The sequence below is a fragment of the Homo sapiens genome, chromosome 17 (assembly GCF_000001405.40).
Source record: "Homo sapiens chromosome 17, GRCh38.p14 Primary Assembly".
Lineage (NCBI taxonomy): Eukaryota > Metazoa > Chordata > Mammalia > Primates > Hominidae > Homo > Homo sapiens.
The window spans coordinates 77,385,690-77,408,946 of NC_000017.11; the positions used below are offsets into that span (position 1 = coordinate 77,385,690).

General features: G+C 56.7%; 1 protein-coding gene, 1 long non-coding RNA gene and 1 other non-coding gene across 9 annotated transcripts in view, besides 7 other annotated features; 1 reads left to right on the plus strand and 2 right to left on the minus strand.

The window, feature by feature from the left end:
* The window catches only part of SEPTIN9 (septin 9), a 219,098-nt gene that overhangs the window by 104,191 nt on the left and 91,650 nt on the right, over positions 1-23,257 (plus strand). For 6 of the 7 annotated variants that reach the window (NM_001113491.2, NM_001293695.2, NM_001113492.2 and 3 more), the window contains 1 exon segment: positions 16,370-17,014. In NM_001113491.2, the coding sequence (NP_001106963.1) occupies positions 16,370-17,014 (645 nt within the window). 7 annotated transcript variants of the gene reach the window in all.
* On the minus strand, positions 1,691-3,063 carry LOC124904062 (uncharacterized). Its single transcript, XR_007065918.1, has 2 exons — positions 2,700-3,063; positions 1,691-2,123 (listed from the first exon to the last, which is right to left on the minus strand). It is a non-coding gene; the product is annotated as an uncharacterized LOC124904062 (long non-coding RNA).
* Positions 3,726-4,456: an enhancer, noted in NCBI's record as "H3K4me1 hESC enhancer chr17:75385497-75386227 (GRCh37/hg19 assembly coordinates)". NCBI's record gives its function as "activates a minimal SCP1, AML or CMV promoter by ChIP-STARR-seq in naive H9 embryonic stem cells {active_cell/tissue: H9 hESC(naive)}" and the evidence as "EXISTENCE:reporter gene assay evidence [ECO:0000049][PMID:30033119]".
* Positions 5,918-6,647: an enhancer, noted in NCBI's record as "OCT4-NANOG-H3K27ac-H3K4me1 hESC enhancer chr17:75387689-75388418 (GRCh37/hg19 assembly coordinates)". NCBI's record gives its function as "activates a minimal SCP1, AML or CMV promoter by ChIP-STARR-seq in primed H9 embryonic stem cells {active_cell/tissue: H9 hESC(primed)}" and the evidence as "EXISTENCE:reporter gene assay evidence [ECO:0000049][PMID:30033119]".
* Positions 6,648-7,378: an enhancer, noted in NCBI's record as "H3K27ac-H3K4me1 hESC enhancer chr17:75388419-75389149 (GRCh37/hg19 assembly coordinates)". NCBI's record gives its function as "activates a minimal SCP1, AML or CMV promoter by ChIP-STARR-seq in naive H9 embryonic stem cells {active_cell/tissue: H9 hESC(naive)}" and the evidence as "EXISTENCE:reporter gene assay evidence [ECO:0000049][PMID:30033119]".
* Positions 7,379-8,108: an enhancer, noted in NCBI's record as "H3K27ac-H3K4me1 hESC enhancer chr17:75389150-75389879 (GRCh37/hg19 assembly coordinates)". NCBI's record gives its function as "activates a minimal SCP1, AML or CMV promoter by ChIP-STARR-seq in naive H9 embryonic stem cells {active_cell/tissue: H9 hESC(naive)}" and the evidence as "EXISTENCE:reporter gene assay evidence [ECO:0000049][PMID:30033119]".
* Positions 11,295-11,365, minus strand: MIR4316 (microRNA 4316). Its single transcript, NR_036200.1, has one exon. It is a non-coding gene; the product is annotated as a microRNA 4316 (primary transcript).
* Positions 12,238-12,956: an enhancer, noted in NCBI's record as "H3K4me1 hESC enhancer chr17:75394009-75394727 (GRCh37/hg19 assembly coordinates)". NCBI's record gives its function as "activates a minimal SCP1, AML or CMV promoter by ChIP-STARR-seq in primed H9 embryonic stem cells {active_cell/tissue: H9 hESC(primed)}" and the evidence as "EXISTENCE:reporter gene assay evidence [ECO:0000049][PMID:30033119]".
* Positions 19,485-19,534: an enhancer, noted in NCBI's record as "active region_12831". NCBI's record gives its function as "activates an Ori minimal core promoter by ATAC-STARR-seq in GM12878 lymphoblastoid cells {active_cell/tissue: GM12878}" and the evidence as "EXISTENCE:reporter gene assay evidence [ECO:0000049][PMID:35858748]".
* Positions 20,405-20,524: a silencer, noted in NCBI's record as "silent region_9035". NCBI's record gives its function as "represses an Ori minimal core promoter by ATAC-STARR-seq in GM12878 lymphoblastoid cells {active_cell/tissue: GM12878}" and the evidence as "EXISTENCE:reporter gene assay evidence [ECO:0000049][PMID:35858748]".

A 23,257-nucleotide genomic window follows, 5' to 3' on the forward strand; every position in this document is an offset into this window, starting at 1 on the left:
TGGGCTGGTTTTCTCGTGCTCCAGGCCTGGGGTGTCAGGTGGAGCCCCTGCTTTGCCCAAAGGTCTAGGTGCCTCTGCCAGCACTGCTTGCTTCTGCATTTTTGGCCACAAGGAATGTGGGCCAAAGGCAGGGTCCTTGACCTCTGCCCAGGAGGGTGAAGTGGGCTGGTCCTCCTTGTCCCTGCTCCAAGGCCCCTGCGGCTGTGCCTTTGGAAACTGCTGGCCCGAGCTAGTGTGCGGAGCTGGGACAGACCTCACCGTGGCCCTCGTGGGGTCATTCCATGTCCGGGCTGGAAGGGATCTTTCGGTCCAGCCCTTCCTGTTCCTCATCAGGAAACTGAGACCAGAGAGGTCATCTGCCTGGCCCGGGGTGGGGTGTAGATGGCGCTTGTGACTCCTGCATGCCACGTGCAGACAGTCCCTCAGCTGTGGGCTTCCCACGCAAGCAGCCATGCTGGGGATAACTTGGCTGAAACCTGCGATTTAATGAAGAGAAGAATGACTCCTCCTGCAGCCCTGTGCCCCACAGGCTCCCTCCTGCCCCCACCCCTCCTGCAGAGGGGCCTCATGCTGGTGGGTGGGTCCCTGTTGCTGCAATGGGCCCAGGCAGTTTCTGGGCAGTGGAGGCTTGGCTGTCTTCCTGCCCAATGTCCCCTGTAGCCCACGCTGTCCGGGAAGGGCGGGGAAGCACTCAGCCACTGGGGACTTCACAAGATGGGTATCTGGGAGATGCTGATTGGCAGGCCAGGCTCCCGTGGCCCACAGGCAGGTCAGAGGTCACAGTGCTGAGCTGGGCTGAGTTGGCAGCTCAGGGCAGTGGGGGTGGGGGTACCTTGCTCAGCCATGGGCCTCTCTGGCACAAGGGTTTGGAGTTTACTGTAAACAACTCCTTCAGTTTTTCCTTCTCTCATAGGCCACCAGCAGAATTGAGGGGCCCTCTGTTGATGAGGTGTGGCCTGGGAGGGGCTAGTTGTCTGTCCACCTGATCCTTGCGGACAGGTGACCACAGGCTTCCTGCCCCAGGGGGCTGGGGGAAAGATCGGGGAGGCCTCTCTGGCTTCCCCACTTGGAAGGAAAATACGGGCATAGGGGAGACACTTTACAGGGACACATTTCAGCCAGTACCCTCTGGCTGTGCTGGGGGCACAGTGCCTGCCCTGCCCACAAGAGGGGTCAGTTCTCTCCAGGATTTAACTTCAGCCTTCAGTGCAGGGCAGATGAGCACTCAGAGGCCCAGAGGACTCATATCACGAGAGAGAAGCTGTGACCACACAGGCACTGAAGGTTAAGCAGAAGAGTGGGACACACGGGTGACCTGAAAGTCCCAGGGTCAGTGTGGTTAGCCCCAGATAGCTGGGGAGCTTTGGGTACCAGGCTTAGCAGGGGAGGAGGGCCCCCGTGACAGTTTGCTGGGGCTGCTGCAACAAAGCCCCACGAACTTTGGGGGCTGAAGATGGTTCTAGAGGCCAGAAGTCCAAAATCAAGGTGTCGACCAGGCTGATCCTTTGGGGCCTCTGCGGGAGGCTCCGGCCCAGGCCTCTCTCCCAGCTTCTGGTGGCTCCCGGGTGCTCCTGGGCATGTAGATGCGTCACGCCACTCCCTGCTCCGTCTTCACATGGCCTTTTCTCTGTGTCTCTGTGTCTCGTAAGGATGCTTGTCATTGCATTTAGAGCCCACCCTAAATCCAGGATACTCTCCTCTTGAGATCCTTTATTGCATCTGCAAAGACCCTATTCCAACTCCTGTCACATTCACAGGTCCGAGGGCTAGGGCTCTGGCATGTCTTTTGGGGGTCACTATTCAGTCCACTGCGGCAGCTGATCTTAGGGGAAGCAGAATGTTCTAAGCTTGGGGTGAGCGGAGGGAACGCTGCTGGGTGGGGAGTGGGAGACCAGGCTCGGAGACACCGCGGATCTCCTCTGTCTGATGAGGGCGTGATGAGGTTCTCATCTCAGGTCCTCTGAATGGCGGCTGCTTCTGAGGAGACCCTTTCCCCTGGATCTGCCCCTCCAGAAACCTCCACTTAGGTCCAGGTCCCAAGGTGGATGGTAAGAGGCGGCTGTCCCTGCCACACTTGATGGGTGAGTGTGTGAACGGGGCTGGGAGCAGGACACTTGTCACTTCTGTGGACAGATTCCAGAGGCTCATGAATCTGCTGCTGGGGAAGGTGCCTGATCTAGCCTGACCCTCCACCCCCACCTCCCCCTTCCCGCCCCCCTTCACCAGCCCTGTTCCCAGAGCTTCACTTCCCCAAAGGCAGGCGCCGTTTCCTGGACTTCTCAGCAGCTACCCCCTACCCCAGACCCCTCTCTTGTAGGCCCCTCTGGTCTCAGCGCCTACTCCTCCCTGGGCTTCTGCCCCTCTACCGTGAGGCTTCTGGGCAGAAGTGTGGGGCCCCCTCGCTGTGTCTGGCTCTCGCGGTATACCAGGGGTCCTCCCAGGGGCCCGCCCTGCCCGCTAGGTTTCCAGGGAGCTTTTCAAGTTCTTAGATGGGCTTGATGGAGTTTCCCAATGCGTTGTCTCAGAGCAGGAGGGGCCCCGGCTGAGTCCGAGAGTCCCCTCAGTCACACCCTGGGCTGTTTGGGGCAGCCAGGCAGCCCGTCTTCTGGAGGTGCTGCCTCTCTCTGGTTACCCCTTCTGGAATCTTCTGCGTCCAGTTGCGGCCCCTCCTACACAGCACACCCACCACCCCCTTTTACCTGTGACTCTTCTTTGTCAACCTCTTCATGTCTTTGAGAATGGAGACCAGGTCCTCCTCACCCTGGAGTTCAGCAGAACCTAAACCAGGCAGATCCGTGTAGGTTCACGTGGGGGCTCTGTGGCCACTGTGGCTCTGCCGTCACCTCCAGCCCAGCTTGGCGCGCTTTGGATCATGTCATTCAGTGCCGGTCCTCCAAACCTCTCCCCTGGCTCTGCAGGTCTGGGAAGCAGCTGGCTCCTGGGTGCAGCTGTGACCGGAGCCTGAACTCTGCTCCCTGGGGTCACCGTCCCCTGTAATTAGGCTGCAGCTCATATTGGCTCGGGCAGAGGCCATCGGCTGCCCGCCTTGGGGCCACAACACAGAGAGCCCCGTGATTAATGGAGGCTCCACCTGGGCCAAGTGGCCCCTGGTGTTAGGCGCTTTTTTTTTTTTTTTTTTTTTTTTGCATTTTTTAAGTGCTTGTAACATTTCCCCTAATGGACAATGAGACGAGGAGGGAGGGAGGGGTGGCTTCTCTGCCCAGGCAGATCAGGAATGGTCACCGCCTGTGTGTGCAGTGACAGGTCTGGGAACAGACAAGGGAGAGCTTGTCCGGGAGGCTGGACCCTCACACCGATGCTGCCTGTGCCTGGCAGCTCTGTCCCGGGCCTCAGAACAGACACTGACCAACACGCTCCTCAGGGTCTCCAGGTCCGGGTCCTGGTCCCCGGCAGAGCTTCCCATCCATGGGAAGAAGCACCGAGCAGCCTTGCTGGCTCCTCGCAGGGAGCTGGGATGCATTTCTAAGAGCAGCATGCGTGAAGCCCGGGGTCTGGGCAAAGGAGTGTTTGGGGAAGAGTCTGCTGTTGTTGGAGGGTCGGAAGTAGAGGGGAAGGAGGGGCACGCGGTAGGCTGAGGAGGTGGCTGGCGACCCTGTGGTGGGGACGAGGGGGCTATGAGCAGACCAGGAGCCAGCATCACGTTTCTCTGTCTCCAGAATCGAGGACGGAGAGCTGCCAGAGAGGCCCTGGCGGGGTGTCTGGGGCCACCTAAAGGGCGTGGGTGGATTAAAGCTGAGGAAAGCCTCATTTTGGGGGACTCCGTACTTAACCTTTGAGGCCCTCAGAGCTGCAGCCTGTGGTTTTTCGAAGTCAATCACCTCCCAGGGCCTCGCTCCTGCCTTCAGCGACAGCCATTTATCAGGGAGTCTTTGACCCAAGGAGACCTGAAAGGTCATCTGGTCCCTCTCCTACCCCCAGGCAGGCCACACCTAGACCCTCCCACACAGATCCGTCCCACCCTTCTGCTGCCTTCCACCAGGGACGGAGGGTGGGCGGCCCTCCCACCCAGGCCCTGGCGGCCCCACCCCAGCCAGGAAATTCTTCCTCTTTATCTGCCTCACATCTCTTCCCCTGCGGCTTCCGCCCATTTCCCCTCAATCTGCTCCTAGTGGAGCAGCCAGCAGCTGGTTTAGAACCCGGGGGTGGGGGGAGCGCTAGACCAGTGCAGCACATCTGAGAGTGTGCCAGAGGTGCTCCCATTCCCATAGCTGATTTAGTAAAGAAAAGAGGAAGTCCAGCAACTTAGCGCCACTTTAAAGTCCGCCTGGAATGACCCTGTGGCTGCCGGAACCAGGGGCACGCGGTAGATGACGGGAGCAGGCACAGAGAGGCCTTCGTCCCGGATCAGTCGCTGTTGCCCTCTTGGAGGCTGGGCTGCCTTTCAAGAAGAGGACCCAAGGCCCTGTGAGCGGTGGCCTCCTCTGGAGCCTTTACTGTGGTCCTGGTTCTGCTCTGCGTAAAGAGAGATGGCTTGAAGCAGAAGCTGCTACGTGGCTGTCCCAGGCAGGCGCCCGTAGTCCCAGCTACTCGGGAGGCGGAGGCAGGAGAATGGCATGAACCCGGGAGGCGGAGCTTGCAGTGAGCAGAGATGGCACCACTGCACCGCAGCCTGGGCGACAGAGCAAGACTCCGTCTTAAAAAAAAAAAAAAAAAAAAGGAGTAGAGAAATCTTTCCCAGAAGGCCTGCAGTCACCTCCCCTTCATGTTTCAGAGGTAAAAAAAAAAAAAACTGCACATTTCGCTTTTTTTTTTTTTTTTTGAGACGGAGTCTCGCTCTGTCGCCCAGGCTGGAGTGCAGTGGCGCGATCTCGGCTCGCTGCAAGCTCCGCCTCCCGGGTTCACGCCATTCTCCTGCCTCAGCCTCCCGAGTAGCTGGGACTACAGGCGCCCGCCACCACGCCCGGCTAATTTTTTGTGTTTTTAGTAGAGACGGGGTTTCACTGTGTTAGCCAGGATGGTCTCGATCTCCTGACCTCGTGATCTGCCCGCCTCTGCCTCCCAAAGTGCTGGGATTACAGGCGTGAGCCGCCGCGCCCGGCCACACGTTTCTGTTCTTGAACAGGTGGCTCCCTGACCCTGGGTGTGGTTACTCCAAGACCTTGCTCTGGTGGGGCACAATTCTGGCCCCAGGTAGGGCGACCGTATAACTTACTGTCCCTTGGGGGACACGTTAGTGAAAGGGACCCTTGAATGACTACGGTGGGACAACAGATGTGAGCTGGGTTTGTCCCAGGAAGGCTGGATGTATGGGCCTCTTGAGCCAGAGGAGACAACAGCAGAAAGCTCTGCGGCTGATGGGACCGAGCAGGAGAAGGGCCGGCGGAGGCTGGGGCAACAACGCACTTGCCCACTGTGAAGGGCCTGTGTGAGCTGATGGCTGATGAGAGGGCAGTGGGGCGAGGCTGCCTCCTGCCAGGCTAGACCAGCTCCAGGACACCCATATCTCCTTTTCAGAACCGGTGACTCAGTGGCTAGAAGGGGCTTCAGAATTGACGGGACACTGAGGGAGTCGAATGGAATGGCTGGAGTGGCCACAGCAGGCTCTAGGCCTCCTCCCGTTTCTTTTCTGTGTTCTGTTCCTGGGGTCTATATCCTGGGGTTGCTGTAACAGAGTGCCACAACCTGGGGGCTTACAAACATAGCTTCCGGCGGCTCCTGGAGATTCCTGGCGTTCCTTGGCCTGCAGACGCATCACCATCATCTCTGATCTCTGGCCCCTGTCTCCACGTGGCTTTCTCCCCCTGTCTGTGTGTCTTTCTCCTTTTCTGTCTTTTATAAAGATGCTCACCATTGGATTTAGGGCCCACTAAATTCAGAATGATCTCACCTTGAGACCCTTACCTTAATTACATCTGCAAAGATCCGTTTTCCAAATGTGATCATGTTCGCAGGTTCCAGGAGTTAGGACTTAAGACATATCGTTTTGGGGGACACTGTTGAACCCACTACATTTAATAAACCCAGAGTTGGTGCCAATGTCCCCTGCGGACACCATAGCAGATTCTGGAGGTTCCTTGTAAAGGAATCCGTAGGACTTCTTTTCCCTTCTGGAGGGATGAGACTGTAGCTGGGCTGGGGAAAGCTGCTGGTTCAAGCTGGGGCTGGTTCAGCTGGTGCTGGCTTGCCAGGTTGTTAGAGAGCTTTATCCAGGGAGAAATTAACATCACAAAGTTGGGGGATAAGAGAAGGTTTGGAATCCCAAGGGCTGGCTGTTGAGGTCAGCTGCCCACCCCTTTGTGTTCCATCTTACAGGGACCCAGGCCTGCCAGTGCTCCGTTTCTGGAAGGAATGCTGTGGGCTGCTGTGCCCCATAGGCAGGGTGGAGGGTCCCCTTGCAGCCAGCGAGCTGCTCTTCCTGTAGCGTGCAGAGGGAAGGAGGAGGCTTGTTTATTTCTCTTGGCCTCAGCCGAAAATCCAACCACAGGCTCTGGCACTAGGCAGACCTGCTCATTCTCACATCATCATTGCAGAGTGAGCCAGGCCTCTTGGGTGGGGCTGTGATGAGCAGGAAGGACCTCCGGAGTGCCTGGGACTTCTTGGGCCCAGGGTTGCCAGAGGCAGAGAGAAAGAAGCCTCCTCCTAACACTTGAGCAAAGATAGTCATCAGAATCCATCAGAGTGGCCTCCTGTGGCTCTTCCCTGGGTGCTGACCCCCCTGGTGCATTTGAAGTTTTCAGGGATACTATTGACGCTCCCTGCACCTCCATCCAGGGGTTAGTGGAAATGGTTCTTTTCCTCCTTGTCCAGAGGTACTGTGGATGATGACCCCAGGTCCCAGACCTCAGTCATTGGGCCACGTGTGCAGATAAGCCTGGGCAGTCAGTAACCTTTGGCCACCAAGCTGGCCTCCTGCGGACTGGGCCGGCACTGGAGGCGGGTCTTAGCTGCTAGCACTGTGGCCCAGCCAGGCCTGGCCTTGGGAAGGCAGAGGGGGAGGGGACTGGGAAAGGGATTGAGCTGGGGGTGGGGTGGTACCCTGGTTCTTCCCTCCCAGACCTTTGGCAGGTTTGAACTATCTGGCTGCGGCTCTCTAAGGAGGGAGCGCCTCCTCCGCCTTGATGTGGACTTTGCCTTCTGTTCACGTTGTCCCTGTCCCTAAACAAATGTGGCTCTCTGTGGGGAGCCTGGGGGCCGCCCTCCACTGACACTGCTGTTTCCTGGCTTCCCTTTGCAGGCTCCGCTCAGCTTCACTGCGCCTATTTTTAAGCCTTTCCTTTTGGACGGTTTTGCTTCCTGAGAACACACCCCTCCCCATCACCCCAACTGTGTCCTCCTCCCTATCCGGAGCCTGCTCCACCTGCCCCAGGAGCCACCTCCCTCCTCCACCAAGCAGCCCAGGCCAATTCTGGAGGGCTAATTTGTGTCCCTCCAGAAGCAGGTCCTGAGACAGGGATTTCAGTGGGAGGGGACACCAGGGGATGCCTGAGTGTGGGAATGGGCCAGGCAGGGAATCCAGCCAATAAAGGGTGCCTCACCAGCTCATTGTGACCACAGGTGGCTGCCCAGCCCCCATACCGGGCAGCATGGGGAGACTGCAGACCGTGCCCCCAGCCTTGTCCCACCTGGGGTTGGGTAAGGGAGCTGGGGTTTTTATACTTCAGTTCTTGGCCAAGGACTGCACTGCTCACTCCTTCCAGCCTTCCGAGGGCTTGGGCACTAGGAAAGGCTCTGGGTGGAGACACGGAAATAGGCCATGTGAAGTCAGTGGGCGTGATTGGTAGCAGTAAGGCCAGGACAGCCTTGGTCACCAGCAAGGTGACCACACATTTCAGCATGCACAGCCCCCACAGACACACACCCAGGAGATGGTAATTACACCAGCAACAGTCACCCCTGCCGCGTGCCATGCCTGCACCCAGGGAATCTTATTTTTTATTTATTTATTTATTTTTATTTGAGATGGAGTTGCGCTCTTGTTGCCCAGGATAGAGTGCAATGGCACAATCTCGGCTCACCACAACCTCCGCCTCCTGGGTTCAAGCTATTCTGCCTCAGCCTCCCGAGTAGCTGGGATTACAGGCATGCACCACCACGCCTGACTATTTTTGTATTTTTAGTAGAGATGGGGTTTCTCCATTTTGGTCAGGCTGGTCTCGAACTCCTGACCTCAGGTGATCCACCCACCTCAGCCTCCCAAAGTGTTAGGATTACAGGCATGAGCCACCGCGCCTGGCCTCAGGGGCACCTTATTACCCCATCACCTCCTACAGCAGGTGACACTGAGGACACTGAGGCTCAGAGTAGACTGTGGTTATGTCACTCTCCTGTTTGGTTCTCCTGCTCTCAGCCCTGAAATAAAGAGCACGGTCCCTGTGCAGGCCCATACGTCCTGTCTCCAGCCCTGGAGCAGTCCTTAAGCTCCTTGAAGGCACACCAGGCCTTTGGGCCTCGTCCCCCAAGTCCTGGATAAATAGGAGGTGAAGGAGCCTTTGCAACTGGACCCCACTCTGCCAGCGCCAAGGCCCTGCCTGACTACCCACCCCACCCTACACAGATCAGGGACCTGTGCCAAGGTCCAGTGTCACAGGAGAGTGAAGACAAGGAGGTGCCCATGGCGTACATGCTGCTGGACTCACTCTGTAGATCCTAAGGGTTATGGGGAGTTATCTGCCAGGTGAGGTTTTCCCGTGGCTTTTTCCTGCAGGCTCAGGGTAGCATACAGGGAGGTGCTTCCCTACTCCTTGGCACCATCTGTCCGGCTTCCCTGAGCCCTGACCCTGGCTCCTAGATAGCCAGTGTTTCTTCAGGGACAGAACCTGCTTTGCTGCTGCTCAGAGGAGACCCAGTTTGACCAGGGCTAGCGTTCCTGGAACCTGAGCCTGGAATTCCACCCTGCCCTGGGCAGAGGCCACGTTGCTCCCTCCTACGAGAGCTGAGCTGCGCATGAGATTATTCTGACCTTGGGCTCTACCATTTCTTTGCATGACATTTGTCCCAGGCTGGAGCAGGGCTCTGTGGCTCGCTTGGTGTTCCCTCCCCAGACTGAGGCCTGATATGTACACCAGGAAGTGCTTGATCTGGTTTCAGGAGCTGGGAGCGGTTTGCCAGGCAGCCTGTGGTCAGAGCAGGGGCCTTAACAATGGTCCCTTGTGCGGCACATTCCTCTCTAAATAGGCCCAGGTCCAGGCTGCTCCTGTTTCGACCCCGCCATGGGCCTGGAGGGGAAAGTTTGCATCTGGAGGGTGGCCCACTGTGGCCTCTTTTTGTGTAGCAGCTGAGACCGTAGGTGCTTGAGAATAGGAGAAGCCCTGTGCCCATCCTGGGCTGTGAGATGTTTTTCCAGAGGTGGGGATGGGGATGGGCCAGCATGCAGTTACCCACACCCTCCAGCTTGTTGGCATCAAGGTCTGTGTATGTGTGTGTTTTTTTTTTTTTAATTTTGTTTTTCCAACATGGAGTCTTGCCATTTGCCCAGGCTGGTCTCGGACTCCTGGCTCAAGCGATCCTCTAGCCTCAGGTTCCCAAAGTGCTGGGATTATAGGTGTGAGCCACCATGCCCAGCCAGTACCAAGGTGTGTTTTTTAAGAGCAATATTGGCCGGGTGCAGTGGCTCACGCCTGTAATCGCAGCACTTTGGGAGGCCGAGGCAGGCGGATCATGAGGTCAGCAGATTGAGACCATCCTGGCTAACACGGTGAAATCGTGTCTCTACTAAAAATACAAAAAAATTAGCCAGACGTGGTGGCCGGGCACCTGTAGTCCCAGCTACTCGGGAGGCTGAGGCAGGAGAATGGCGTGAACCTGGGAGGTGGAGCTTGCGGTGAGCCGAGATTGCGCCACTGCACTCCAGTCTGGGCGACAGAGCGAGACTGTCTCAAAAAAAAAAAAAAAAAAGAACAATATCGATGGTTTTATTCCCTGAACATGCTAAGTGATCCCCATGTAGTATAAGCATCTCAGAAGGCAGGAAAATGTAATGAACAACACCCACCGCCATTCATTCCATCCAGAGATCGTTATTTTCTGCCCGGGTGTGAGTGTGTGTGTGCGTGCAAACTGCACATGTGTGTATGAAATGGAATTAGGATCTTTGTATACATCTTGTGTCCTGCTATTTTTACTTAATATTCTCGGCATTTCTCATCTTCAAAAATGTGATTTTAATGATGGTGCAGGCCTTTGACATATGGGTTTAGAAAATCTGCGGAAACCCGGACTGTTTCCAGGTTTTGTCAGTTTAATGCTGATGCAAATGTCCTCGTACGTAAATCTTTCTGTACTTCTGATTATTTCCTTGGGATAAATTCCCAGAAGTGGGCCAAAGCACATGAACGGTCTTCAGGCTTTTGGAGCAAGTTGAGATCGGTGGGGATTGGAGAAGGGACCCAGGGAGGCTTTTGGGAGCTTGCGAGATTGGAGTCTGGCTTTAGGGGACTTGAATTCACAGATGAAGGAGATGGCTGGCAAAGGTGGGAACCTCCTGCTCTATGGGTGGGGGGGTGACACTGCTTTACCTTCCAGTGACAGCATGGGGATCCTCCCAACATGACCTGGCTCCGCATCTTTCTGACACTGTGCACGGTCCACAGTTGTGATGCTCAGCTGGGAGCCTCTTCTGTGTCCTTCAGTTGCATTAACTCCTTGCAGACAGAGGAGGAAGCTGTCCGGTGCTCCTCCCTGCTGCGTGGGTCCTTTGAATCTGCCCAGTTGGGCCTGTGGATCTGTGCAGTCACGTACGGGGTTCTAAAATCTGCAAAATGACAAGCTCACGAACACTCTCGCTTCTGTGGGTGAATGTGGATACCCCTTGGCTGCGTCTCCCTCCACAGGGAAGATGGAGACGTGTAAAGTGACAAGGACCTGCTACCCCTGGGCAGGTTATGCCGGTTCCACTGTGAGGATGGTGGCAGGGGGCTTCCCAGGAGGCCTGCACATTGGGAAGAGAGGGGCGACCGTGTGTGACTGCAGGACCCAGGGCGCAGTCTTAGGACTCTGATGGGGGAGGAGATGCTGGGGAGCCCTGTTCTGCCAGCCTGGTGACAGACATCTCCTAATGTTTCCCGGCTGGGTACAACTCACAATGTCCTCCGTGGGGAGGCAATTGCCCATGAGGCATCCCTGGCAGGGATGATCTTGTTTCATTGCCACATATCCCAGCAATGAAACAAGAATCTAGAGTGATGTGATTCCTCCGATGACTTCTCCAACCATCTGGGGTTTTTGTGCGACTCCAAGAAGGGGGAAGGAGGCAGCTCTCGCTCCTCTGGGCTCCTGATGTGGCAGCTCTGGAATGGCCACGTGTCCGTTGGCCCACAGTGGGCCATTTGTCGAATGTGGTTGTGGTGGGATTGGGGCTGGGCTGGAGAGTGGGTGACCACACCAGCTAGCCTCACCCTGGGCCACTGTGCAGCCAGGGGTTTCATCTTCCCAGGGGTCTCGTTGTGAGTGTCCTGGGGCTGCTGGAACAAATTACTGGAAACCAAGTGGCCCAACAAAGATTGATTCGCTCATGGTTCTGGAGGCCACAAGTTTGACATCAAGGTATTGGCAGGACCACACTCCCTCCGACAGCTCGAGGGGAGGACCCTTCCTTGCCTCCTCCAGCTTGCGTTGGCCCAGGCGCTCCTTGGCTCTGGCAGCATCTGCAGTCTCTGCTCTCATCACGTAGCCCTCCCCACCGTGTCTCTTTGTGTCCCAAGTCCCCTTCTGCCTTTCTCCTATAAGGACACCGAGCACTGGATTTAGAGCCCATCCCAAATCCAGGATAGTCTCATCCCGGGATCCCTAATCACATCTGCAAAGACCCTTTTTCCAAATAAGGTCACATTCGTGGGTTCTTGGGGTTAGGTATTAGACATGTCTTTTTGGGGGTCACTAGTCAACCCTCTACAGAACCTCAGACGAAAGTGAATCTTCACAGGCTGAAATGGGGGTGAAGGTCTAGTGCGTCCCTCCTCCTTGGGAGCTCCCTCAGGGCTTGTGCCTATCCTGTGATCCTGTGATCCAGCCTTTTTTTTGAGATGAAGTCTTGCTTTGTCGCCCAGGCTGGAGTACTGTGGCACGATCTGGGCTCACTGCAACCTCTGCCTCCCGAATTTAAGTGATTCTTCTGCCTCAGCCTTCCAAGTAGCTGGGATTACAGGCGCCCACCCCCATGCCTAGCTAATTTTTTGTGTTTTTAGTAGAGACAGGGTTTTACCATGTTGGCCAGGCTGGTTTCGAACTCCTGACCTCAGGTGATCCGCCTGCCTTGGGCCTGCCTTGGCCTCCCAAAGTGCTGGGATTACAGGCATGAGCCACCACGCCTGGCATTTAGTAGGTTTTGGTTGTTTTTTTTTTTTGAGACAGAGTCTCACTCTGTCATCCAGGCTGGAGTGTAGTGGTGTGATCATGGCTCACTGCAGCCTTGATCTCCTGGCCTCAAGTGATCCTCTCACCTCAGCCTCTCGAGTAGCTGGGATTACAGGCATATGCCACCACCCCTGGCCAATTTTTGTATTGTTTAGTGGAGTCGGGGCTTTGCCATGTTGCCCAGGTTTGTCTTGAACTCCTGGGCTCAAGCGATCTGTCCACCTTGGCTTCCCAAAGTGTTGGGGTTACAGGCGTGAGCCACCACGCCTGGCTTAGTAGGTTTTCTAGAAGCGCCTGAGGCCTGGTGAAGGCATGGTGTCATGGAGTAGAGAACATTCAACTCTGTTCCCGGGGAGCCGGAACACACCCCTCGTAGCCAATCTCAACAGTCATGACGTGGCCAGGATGACATGGGGAGGGGGTGGTGTGGACTGTGTGGGAGGCCAGCTCCCCGGGAAGGGGGCTGGAGTGGGCTTGGCTTTGAGGAGGATTCCCAAGAGGAGGAGGAGGCGGTGGCATGCTCGTTTGGGGGGATGGCGTGAGCCAGGGTGGGCACCTCTTCATTTAGGTGTCACCTTCTTGACATTCCAGCCGGGACATGGTTTCCTTGGGGAAGATGGACACCCCCAGAGTGGGGCATCTCCTGGGGAAGATGGACACCTCCGGAATGGGGCGCCTCCTGTTCTCACTGTTCTTCTAGCACACAGTTGTATTCTCTTGCAGTTCTGGAGGCTGTGAGATCTCCTGGCTGTTATCTAGAACAAACTCGCCTTTGAGCAGCGCCGTCCTGATGGTGGGGTGGCCCCTGCGGGTGGAACAGCCCCTGCTGTCTCAGAGCTTACTGAGAGCTAGTGGGCATGGGAGTGGTGCTGGACCGAAACACCCAGAGGGATCATAGAGCCAGGCAGTAAGCACAGAGGCCAGCTAGTGGGGAGGGAGGGACCCATCCATGAAAAGACACCAAGCATTGAAAGAGAGGAGAGGATGGTTGGGGACCGGCACACATGTGCATTTTGCGCAGATGGCCAAGGTGGTGAGGCGCCAGCCACGCAGACAACTGGAGGAAGGAGGAGTGCCCTAGGGGAGGGGCCAGCTCCGGTTCTAGAATGATCCGCTTGTGCACGTGGGCCTGGCTGGAATAAATCATTGCATCCGCACCGTAGACTCAATCGTAAGCTCACACCAGGGCAGCCTCTGCTTTGGTGCAGTGTCTTCGATCATGAGTTGGCCATGGTGGGGGTGACTCCAAGGGGACTCCCAAGGAGGGGGTTCACCGGATCTCCCAGGGAAGGTCATTTGTTTTCTTGGGTTGGACCTGGGACAAGGCCTTCTCCTGTCTAGTTTCTGTTCTCCAACTTGACCGCACGGAAGGATGCTGAGGACACCTGGAAGCCGGCCCCTGCTCTACAGCACCCATAGGACAGAGGCACACCATGTGGGGACAGTTTGGACAGTGCTCAGGAGGCAGGGAGCAGATCAGAGGACCGCGGGAGGCCCTGGGAACCGCACGAGGACCCAGGCATTGAGCTCTGCACTTTCTGGCATCAGCCCGATGTACAGTCTGGCTCTGTGTCTACCCCGTACTTCACTTTCCCCATCTGTACGGGGGCGGTAATAATATTCTTTACAGCCCAGGTTTAAGCGGGTGTAGATGTGATGAGCTTGGTAAGCCCATCTCATTACATTCAGTTCTGGGCATTGAACCCTGGACTTTCTGGCTGGTAGAAGTGGACATTCAACCTTTCCTTGGGGCCCTGGGGCTTCTGCAGAATCAGAACACAGCCAGCAGTTTGCATGCAGGGTGCAGAGGGACAGAGGGACACCATGTCGGGAGCCCACACCTGGCACACCCCTGACTCTGGGGCTCAGTGTCCTGCTGCCCTGCGGCCACGTGATCAGCTAGAGGTCATGGCTGGACCCATAGGCGAATACAGCCTGTGGATTTGATTTTGTTTGGCCCTGCGGTGTTTTATTTTATTTTTAGTTTTAGTTTGTGGAGACAGAGTCTCGCTCTGTCAGTCAGGCTGAGTGCAGTGACACGATCTCAGCTCTGCAACCTCTGCCTCCCGGGTTCAAGCGATTCTCCTGCCTCAGCCTCCTGAGTAGCTGGGACTATAGGCGAGTGTCACCATGCCCAGCTAATTTTTTATTTTTAGTAAAGATGGGGTTTCACCACATCAGCCAGGCTGCTCAGTGTTTTAAAAAGGGCTTGTTTTGCTTTGTGCCAGCATTTAAAGATCAGGAGATATCATATAAAGATCCAGATTTCTACTCTCTTGAGAAGTGAACAGCTCTGGCCACGCCGGGCCCATATCCTCTAGGGCAGTGACGGAGCTGAGACAGGGCCTGTGACAACTGAGAGTTCTCTGGAGTCCACACGGCTCCTTGCCCAGCTTCTGGTGGAGGTTGAGCTTAGTGACCCAGGATTTCGTCTGTGTCCACCAAGAAGGAGAGGTGCCTGTGGCTTAGAGAGGGCGCCCACAGGAGTGCCTTGCCCAGGAAGCTGGCAGCTGAGGCGGCCAGGGTTAGGGGGTTGGGCTTCCTCTTCCCCTCCCCAGTGCCTGAGTGCATTTGGAGGAAGAGAGACGGGTGAGGGGAAGGCACTGAAATTGGTCCTGGAGCGCTATTATTGGGGGCTGGGGACCAGCTGTCATCCCTTTTCCTGTGGGCAGGGGAGGCAGTGGTGGGATCCCATGAGACCCGGACTCTGTGGCCTGGTGAGGCAGGGAGCGGCTGGGGAGACACTGTGGGTCTCCACAGGGGTGCGCTGTGGGTCTGGCCTGGGGAAGGAGCTGGTGAATGTGCCTGCCATGTGGGTCCCTCCCTGCTCTGGCCCTGATAACCAGGAGCGGCTGGCTCTCATTTGGAGTGCGGTTGTGGGGACTGTGGAGGTGGCAGCTTCCCAGGTACCATCCCCACTGCCTCCGAGGGAGCAGACCCTGGTGGAGAGGCAGGATGGCTGCAGGGCGGGAGCTGGTGGTTGGCATCACTGCACGGGCTTGTAGTAGTGGATGGGAAGATGCAGGAGAGGCTGATGACTGAGAAAGTTGGTTCCTGTGGACTAAGCTGGGGGAGCCGGACAACCAAGTGGTTAGAACCTTGGGCTCTGGTATCAGCCTGATGTACAGTCTGGCTCTGTGTCTACCCCGTGCCCCACTTTCCCCATCTGTACTGGGGGTACTGGTATTCTTTACATCCCAGGGTTAAGCGGCTGCAGATGTGATGAGCTCGGTAGGCCCGGCGCCTCGCCGGCACTGAAAGCTCCAGTGTCCGCCCTTAGTGTCATTGATGGGGTTTTGTTCCTGCTGCGGTTCTGATTGGTTACAGTTGCGGTCACTTATTATTGGAGGCATGTCCCCCGCTGTGGCTGATGGTAGAGGTGTGTTTGCTGGTGGTGTCCCAGTGTGTGCCTTGGCTGGAGGTGAGGAGGGATAAAAACAGCCGCGACAAGAAGGAAATCAAGGCCGGGCACGGTGGCGCACGCCTGTAATCCCAGCACTTTGGGAGGCCGAGGCGGGTGGATCGCTTGAGGTCAGGAGTCCGAGACCAGACTGACCAACATGGTGAAACCCCATCTCTACTAAAAATACAAAAATTAGCCAGGCATGGTGGCCCGTGCCTATAATCCCAGCTACTGGGGAGGCTGAGGTAGGAGAATCGCTTGAACCCGGGAGGTGCCGCTGCACTCCAGCCAGGGCAACAGAGCAAGACTCCATCTCAAAAAAAAAAAGAAGGAAATAAAAGTCTTCTCTGGAACTAGAACGTTCCTATGTAGACGTAGCTGGAGGGGGAGGCTGTGTGGTTTGCGCCGTGGCCATGGCAAGACACGACGGGCAGCATCTTCCCACTCCAGCCTGCATCTCTGCCCCAGAACTCATGATGGTTCTCCTAGGATGGGGCTGTCCCTTCCGCTTGCTGAGACATGAAGGACGGGAAGAGACCCCCGGCCCTCACCGCCGCATCGCCTGCCTTCCTCTGCTGCTCCTTAGCAGGAAACATGCCGGAGTGTTCCCTAGCCATCCATTCACCAATTGCATCCCCTCTCTTTATTTTTCAGCCTTGAAAAGATCTTTTGAGGTCGAGGAGGTCGAGACACCCAACTCCACCCCACCCCGGAGGGTCCAGACTCCCCTACTCCGAGCCACTGTGGCCAGCTCCACCCAGAAATTCCAGGACCTGGGCGTGAAGAACTCAGAACCCTCGGCCCGCCATGTGGACTCCCTAAGCCAACGCTCCCCCAAGGCGTCCCTGCGGAGGGTGGAGCTCTCGGGCCCCAAGGCGGCCGAGCCGGTGTCCCGGCGCACTGAGCTGTCCATTGACATCTCGTCCAAGCAGGTGGAGAACGCCGGGGCCATCGGCCCGTCCCGGTTCGGGCTCAAGAGGGCCGAGGTGTTGGGCCACAAGACGCCAGAACCGGCCCCTCGGAGGACGGAGATCACCATCGTCAAACCCCAGGAGTCAGCCCACCGGAGGATGGAGCCCCCTGCCTCCAAGGTCCCCGAGGTGCCCACTGCCCCTGCCACCGACGCAGCCCCCAAGAGGGTGGAGATCCAGATGCCCAAGCCTGCTGAGGCGCCCACCGCCCCCAGCCCAGCCCAGACCTTGGAGAATTCAGAGCCTGCCCCTGTGTCTCAGCTGCAGAGCAGGCTGGAGCCCAAGCCCCAGCCCCCTGTGGCTGAGGCTACACCCCGGAGCCAGGAGGGTGAGTCGCAGAGCGCTAGGTCTTGGATGCTGTGGTAATGGGGGGCCTGGTTGCTGGCTTTGCCACAGAATCTTGGAGGAAGAAGCTGGATATGGGGTGGAGGGTGCTACCCTGGAGACCCAGAAAGACCGGAATGCATGGGGGTGGGGGTCTGCAAGCTCAGGAGAGGTGGCTCTCTCTGTCTGATGGGAACATGCCAAGATGCCCCAAGCGGGACTTGAATGAGAGTTTGGAAAGATTTTCTGGGTTTCAAGGAGCCTCCTTTATGGGTCACCGTGGGCCTTGCTGGGACCTCTGTCTGCTGTGTGTCCCTGGAGGGCCTGGGAGGCTTAGAGAATGAGGAGCCACGCAGGAACCAGGGCAGGCTCATGCAGGGGTGTAGGACAGGGTGGAGTTGAGACCCCTAGAAGGGCTGTCACATTCTGGTGGCTCCTGCTTGAGGAATTGCAGGCTGCCTGGATATGCCCAGCAGAGGCCGAGGGCTTGGGGAAGGGAGGAGGGACGTATGCCTCCTGAGGCTTGCATTGGAGCCCATGGTCTGGTCCTCCTCCCCCAGGAGGGATGGTTGTGGCAGAGGGAGGGGAACATGAGGAGCACCTTAGCCTGCAGGACAAAATTCTCAGGGCACTGGGAAGGGGTGCCTGGACCAGGGGGCTGTGTGATAGCTGCACACGGTTTTATTTGGGGGTGCCCTTCTGGCGAGAGGAGAGAGGCCATGGGGCTCCAGCAGCGTCCTGGGAGGGCTCAAGCCCACAGCCGTGCTGACATGGAGCTTACAGGCAGGGGATTGGTGCCAGTCCTGTGGGACACAGGGCCTGTTTGGAAATGCCAGGCTGTGGGACATGGTTGGGTCCCTTCTCAGAAGCGTGCCCCCTGGCCCCAGCAGGGATCGTGGCTCCATGGGGCTATAGTAAGGTGCCAGCTGGGTTAGAAGCCCCTCAAGAGCCAGGTCTGATTCTGGGCACAGGATCAGAACTCAGTAATGCTCAGTAAGCCTTCTTTAGGTTGGACAAACAGCACAGTCTGGGTTTTTGATTTAGCTGCTGCTTCTTATTTCTAACCGTGGTGAAATACACAACATACAATGTGCAATTTTAGCCACTTTGCAGTGTACGTTTCAGCGGCATTCAGTACATTCACGGTGTTGCGCAGCTGCCACCGCTGTCCATCTCCGGTACCCTTTTCATCCTCCCAAACTGAGCTCCGTCCCCGTTAGACCAAGCTCCCCATGCCCCTCCCCCAGCTGCTGGCAGCCACCATTCTATTTTCTGTCTTTATTATGAATTTATTTGACCACTCTAGGAACCTTGTGTGTGTGGAAAAATACAATAACTGCCCATTTTGTGTCTGGCTCATTTCACTCAGCATGACGTCCTAAAGGTTCATCCGTCGTGCTGTAGCATGGGGCAGAATTTCCTTCCTTTCAGAGGCTGAATAATATTCTGTTGTGCGATGCACTTGTGTTGTGTAGCTGTTCCTCCATCGGTGGACCCTTGGGTTGCTTCCACATCTCTCTAAGTCCCTCTTTCCATCTTCTTTGACTTTTCTTTGACTTTTTTGAGACAGGGTCTTGCTCTGTCCTCCAGGCTGGCGTGCAGTGGTGTGATCACTGCTTACTGCAACCTCTGCCCCCTGGGCTCAAGTGATTCCCCAGCCTCAGCCTCCCAAGTACCTAGGACCACAGGTTGCGCGCCACCATGCCTGGCTAATTTTTAAATTTTTTTTGTAGAGACAGGTTCTCACTAGGTTGCCCAGGCTGGTCTCAAACTCCTGGGTTCAAATGAGCCTCCTGCCTCGGCCTCCCAAAGTGTTGGGATTATAGGCATGAGCCACCCAACCCCTTTTTGGTTTTTCTTTTTGAATGAGAGTTCTCCAGTGGTCAGTGGGCTTGGGGGCTGGGAGGATGTGGGGCCTGGAGAGGGTGTGGGTTTGGGGGGAGACCAGTGCTCCTCATGCTTTCATGGGCATGTGGAGTGCACATTTGTCTTGGCGGGTCTGGGGCCTGGGACTCTGCATTTCCTACAGAGGGGGCATCGGAACACACTGAGTAGCCAGAGGCTAGTGGGCCTTGGAAGGTCCTTTCCGGCCCTCAGTGTGCGAGTCCCGTGTTCCCTCTCCCATCTCTCTAAGCTTGACTCTGAAGAGCCACCCTGCCCCAGCCACCCAGACTCAGTGACAGTGGTTGCTGGTGGCATGGTGTCAGGCCAAAGGCATGGGCAGTTTGCAGAGTGGCAGGAGGCTGTTTCCTCCCCTGCCTTCTGTTGGTGCAGGACCTTTGTTTGACGTGCCGGATACACCCCCATCCTGGGTTGATGTGTTCACACTCAGCTGAGTCAAACAGGATGTGGCTGGGGAGGCGGTTGTCACCGAGCCATCTAAATCTCGGTGATGGCTGGTGCTGGATGCACAGGGACGTGGTCCTGGCTCTGGGGGACAGGTAGGGGGATGTCCATGGGGATGTACAAGAACATTCTCCTCCAGGGGCAGACACAGTTTAGCCCCTAAATTGTGCCAGAGACTGTGCCGGGAGCCAGGCCCAGGGACACAACCTGCGGGCTCTGCTTTCTGGAGCTCACCGAGCCGTGAGCAGGATGGCTGGGACACAAGGAGTGTCCAGGGAGCTTCCCCAGCAGTGGAAGTACAATTTCATCAGGCCAGGAAGGGGAGAGAAAGGCAGGCCACGTGGAGGCAGCAGCGTTCAGAGCTGCCAGGAACCTGGCGCTCTGGGGGGACGGTGGCTTTCTCCATGGAATAGGATGTACACGTTGGAGCCGGGGCATGGGAGAAAACCATCAGCATCCCAGACCCGGCCACCCACGGACAGGGACCTGTGCAGGTGGGAGTCCAGCTCACGTGGAGAGGTCCGTGGGCTGGGCTGACAGTCCTGAGGGCCTAAGCAAGTCCAGGTGGAGGAAATGCAGGGACAGACGAGGGCAGGGCCTTCCCAATGGAGGAGTGCTCTTGAAATCCGATGGGAGTGGCTTCTCGGGGGGCCCAGGCCTGAGCCCCACTAGTTCTTCCTCCGAGGCACCACCTGCTTGCTTCTCCGTCCTCCCTCTCTGTGTCACGACCGTTCTGGACACGGATCCAGTTCTCTCCAACTCAGCTTCCTGCCCATCTTTCCTTCAGGCCCATCCCCTTCTGCCCCTCCATGTGGGGCTGGGCTGGGAGTTCCCTGAGCCCCGACATGCACAGCTCTGACCAATCTCTGCGGCCCCTCTGTCCCCCGAGCACCAGGGATCCAGCTGGCACCATGGGGAAAGGAATCATGGAGGGAGTTCCGTGCCCTCTGAGCAGACGCCCAGCCCCTTGGCTTCTGCCTGCGGGAGGGCATCTGTGCTGTGGTTTGTCTCCACCCCAGAGCTGTGGGTGCAGGGCAGGGTCTCCTGGGGCCCCAGCTGAATTGCTCCCAGACTGACTTCCCCAAAGCACAGCACTGCTGAGATCTCTTCCCGTGCTGAGCCTTCTCTGCTCACTCACCATAGGCCCCTCCACGGTTGATTCACTCTCCTGCTCAGCTCACACCTCTCTCCTTCCCAGCTTCTCCTGCTTTGGTCTTCCCTTGGTCTCTCACACCTTTCCTCACAACCCCTTTGCCCTGACCTCCTGAACCCTGACCTCTGCTTCTCTTTACATCACTGCCTTGGTGAACTCCTATGCATCCCTCAAAACCTGGTCCAAATACCTCGTGTTTGGCTTGGGATATAAATGATTTGTGTATAAACTTTCTTTCCTCTGCTAGACTTTTTTTTTTAAATGTGAAAGTAGTTTTTCAGATCATAAAAAGTAATCGAGTACCCTTTCTTTAAAATGCAGGAAGTACAGAAATGAGAAAGAACCTAAAATTCACCTGTAAGCCAGCGATATCCATGCTTGAGGTTTTGCTGTATAGTCTTCAAAATTCCTTTCATGCCCCCACTAGATTCTGAGGGTAGGGCTGTTGTCTTTGTTTTTTTTTGTGTTTTTTTTTTGTTTTTTGTTTTTTGAGATGGAGTCTCTCTCTATCACCCAGGCTGGAGTGCAGTGGCATGATCTCAGCTTACTGCAACCTCTGCCTCCCAGGTTCAAGCGATTCTTCTGCCTCAGCCTCCCGAGTAGCTGGGACTATAGGCGTGGGCTACCACGCCTGGCTAACTTTTGTATTTTTAGTAGAGACGGGGTTTCACCATATAGGCCAGGCTGGTCTCGAACTCCTGACCTCGTGACCCACCCACCTCAGCTTCCCTGACCTCCCAAAGTGCTGGGATCATGCCACCGTGCCCAGCCTGTCTTGGTTTTTATAAAGAATCCCATAAGGGGCCAGGTGCAGTGGCTCATGCCTGTAAATCCAGCACTTTGGAGGCCGAAGCAGGCAGATTGCTTGAGCCCAGGAGTTTGGGACTAGCCTGGGCAACATAGAGAAACCCTATCTTTACAAAAAATACAAAAAATTAGCCAGGCATGATAGCATGCGCTTGTAGTCCCAGCTACTGGGGAGGTTGAGGTGGGAGGACCACCTAAGCATGGGAGGTTGAGGCTGCGGTGAGCTGAGATTGTGCCACTGCACTCCAGCCTAGGAGACAGAGTGAGACCCTGTCTCAAAAAAAAAAAAAAAAAAAAAAAAAATCCCATAAGATACCAAGTAAGTGACTTGGACATAATAGGTGTGCCATGAAATTATGCTGAAGGAGTGAGCCACTGGTGGTGAGTTGGGATGGCTTTTTTGTGGTTCTTGTAGGCAGATGTAGTGACCCCCATGGGTCGTCCCTAGAGACCAAGCAGAAACTTTCCTGGTCAACTTTACCCCCAGGACACCTGGTCTCTCCTCTGGAGGTTGTGCTGGAGGGCTCAGTGGGTGGGTGTTGGCTTCAGTGTGGGGGTTCTGGAAGGAGTCAGCATTTCAGGAGGGAGTGTGGGCACCTAGATGGTTGAAGGGGAGGGAGAGGAAGAGAGGCGCTGCAGAGGGCAGAGGCATCCCTGCCTGCTCCTCCGCCCCAGGGCCTGGTGAGGTCTGAGCTTTATGCTGGTGGGGTGGATTCTCGGTTTCCGAGGCTCTGGCCCTGCCCCTGGACTTGGCACCCTCCTTGCTGTCCTCCCACAGAAGGGCGCTCATCCTTTGGGGTCATCCCTGGTCCTCTCAGGCTCTGGGTGGGGACGGCCTTGCCTCCTCTCCTGGATCCCTGCTCTTTTCCTGCCCCCCAACATGGGTGCCTCTGGGTGGAGTGGGGTGGGGCTGGGCTGCAGCACCCAGTACTGAGCCTGCAAGGGCTGGCTGCTGGCTCAGAGCCCCCCCCACCAGAGTTACCCCCCTCCGGCTCCTCAGCCACACCAGCCAAGTTTCTCCAGAGCTGCCTTATAAGGCGGGTGCTCAGCGCTCGTTCATGGGTCTGGTTCTCTGCCTTCTTGGGATGCTCACTGGGGGCAAGAGGGAGGCCAGGCCCAGTGCCCAGCTCAGTTCTGGGCATGTCCCAGCTCTGCCCCATGAGTCAACTGGTTCTGAACTATCATTCCACCCCTCCCAGCCTCAATTTCTTGATCTGTCAAAGAGGCATCTGCAGAGGTGGCTGGGGGCTGAGCTCTCATGTATCCACCCACCCCAAGAACCAAGAAGGGAGTCCACAGTGGTTCTGGGGCCACTTGTGAACATGGATGTGAAATTGGGGCGGGGTAGACATGGCAGCATGTCTCAGTAGTTTTCCTGTGACCCAGAGGGTCTGGAAATCTTTGTCATGTGGGTGGAGCGTTGAGGGAGCAGGGGGTCAGGCCCCCCCGAGCTGATGATGGTGGGCGTGGCTCTTCGCATACTTGGTCCGCACCGGGCCGTGTGTTCCAGGGGCAGAACAGGGAGGAATCTCAGCACAGACAGCAGGGCTGCCAGTACAGCGTTGAGTATAGGGTTAATCAAAGCACAGGGCTCCCTGGAACCACCCAACACAGAGCAGTGAAGAGGTGGCTTTGGGGAAAGTGGGGTCAGAGCTGAGCCTGAGTGGGGGGTGGGGAGGGCGGGCATCAGCCTGCAAGGGAGGGACACCTACTGGGCCCCAGAAGTTCCTGGTGGGGATCAGGGACTGTGAAGTTGGGGAGAGGGTGACCACTGTGATTTAGGGAGGAAGGGCCCCATAGACAGCCCAGCTTCTGGCCCCGTGTTTACAGGACACCCCACATAGGCTCTGAGCCTATCCCTGGACTGTGGACTCCCTGAGGCAGGGTGTGCAGGTTCGTCCAGTACCAGGTGTAAGGCAGGGGGCCTTGGTAAGCGTCGAG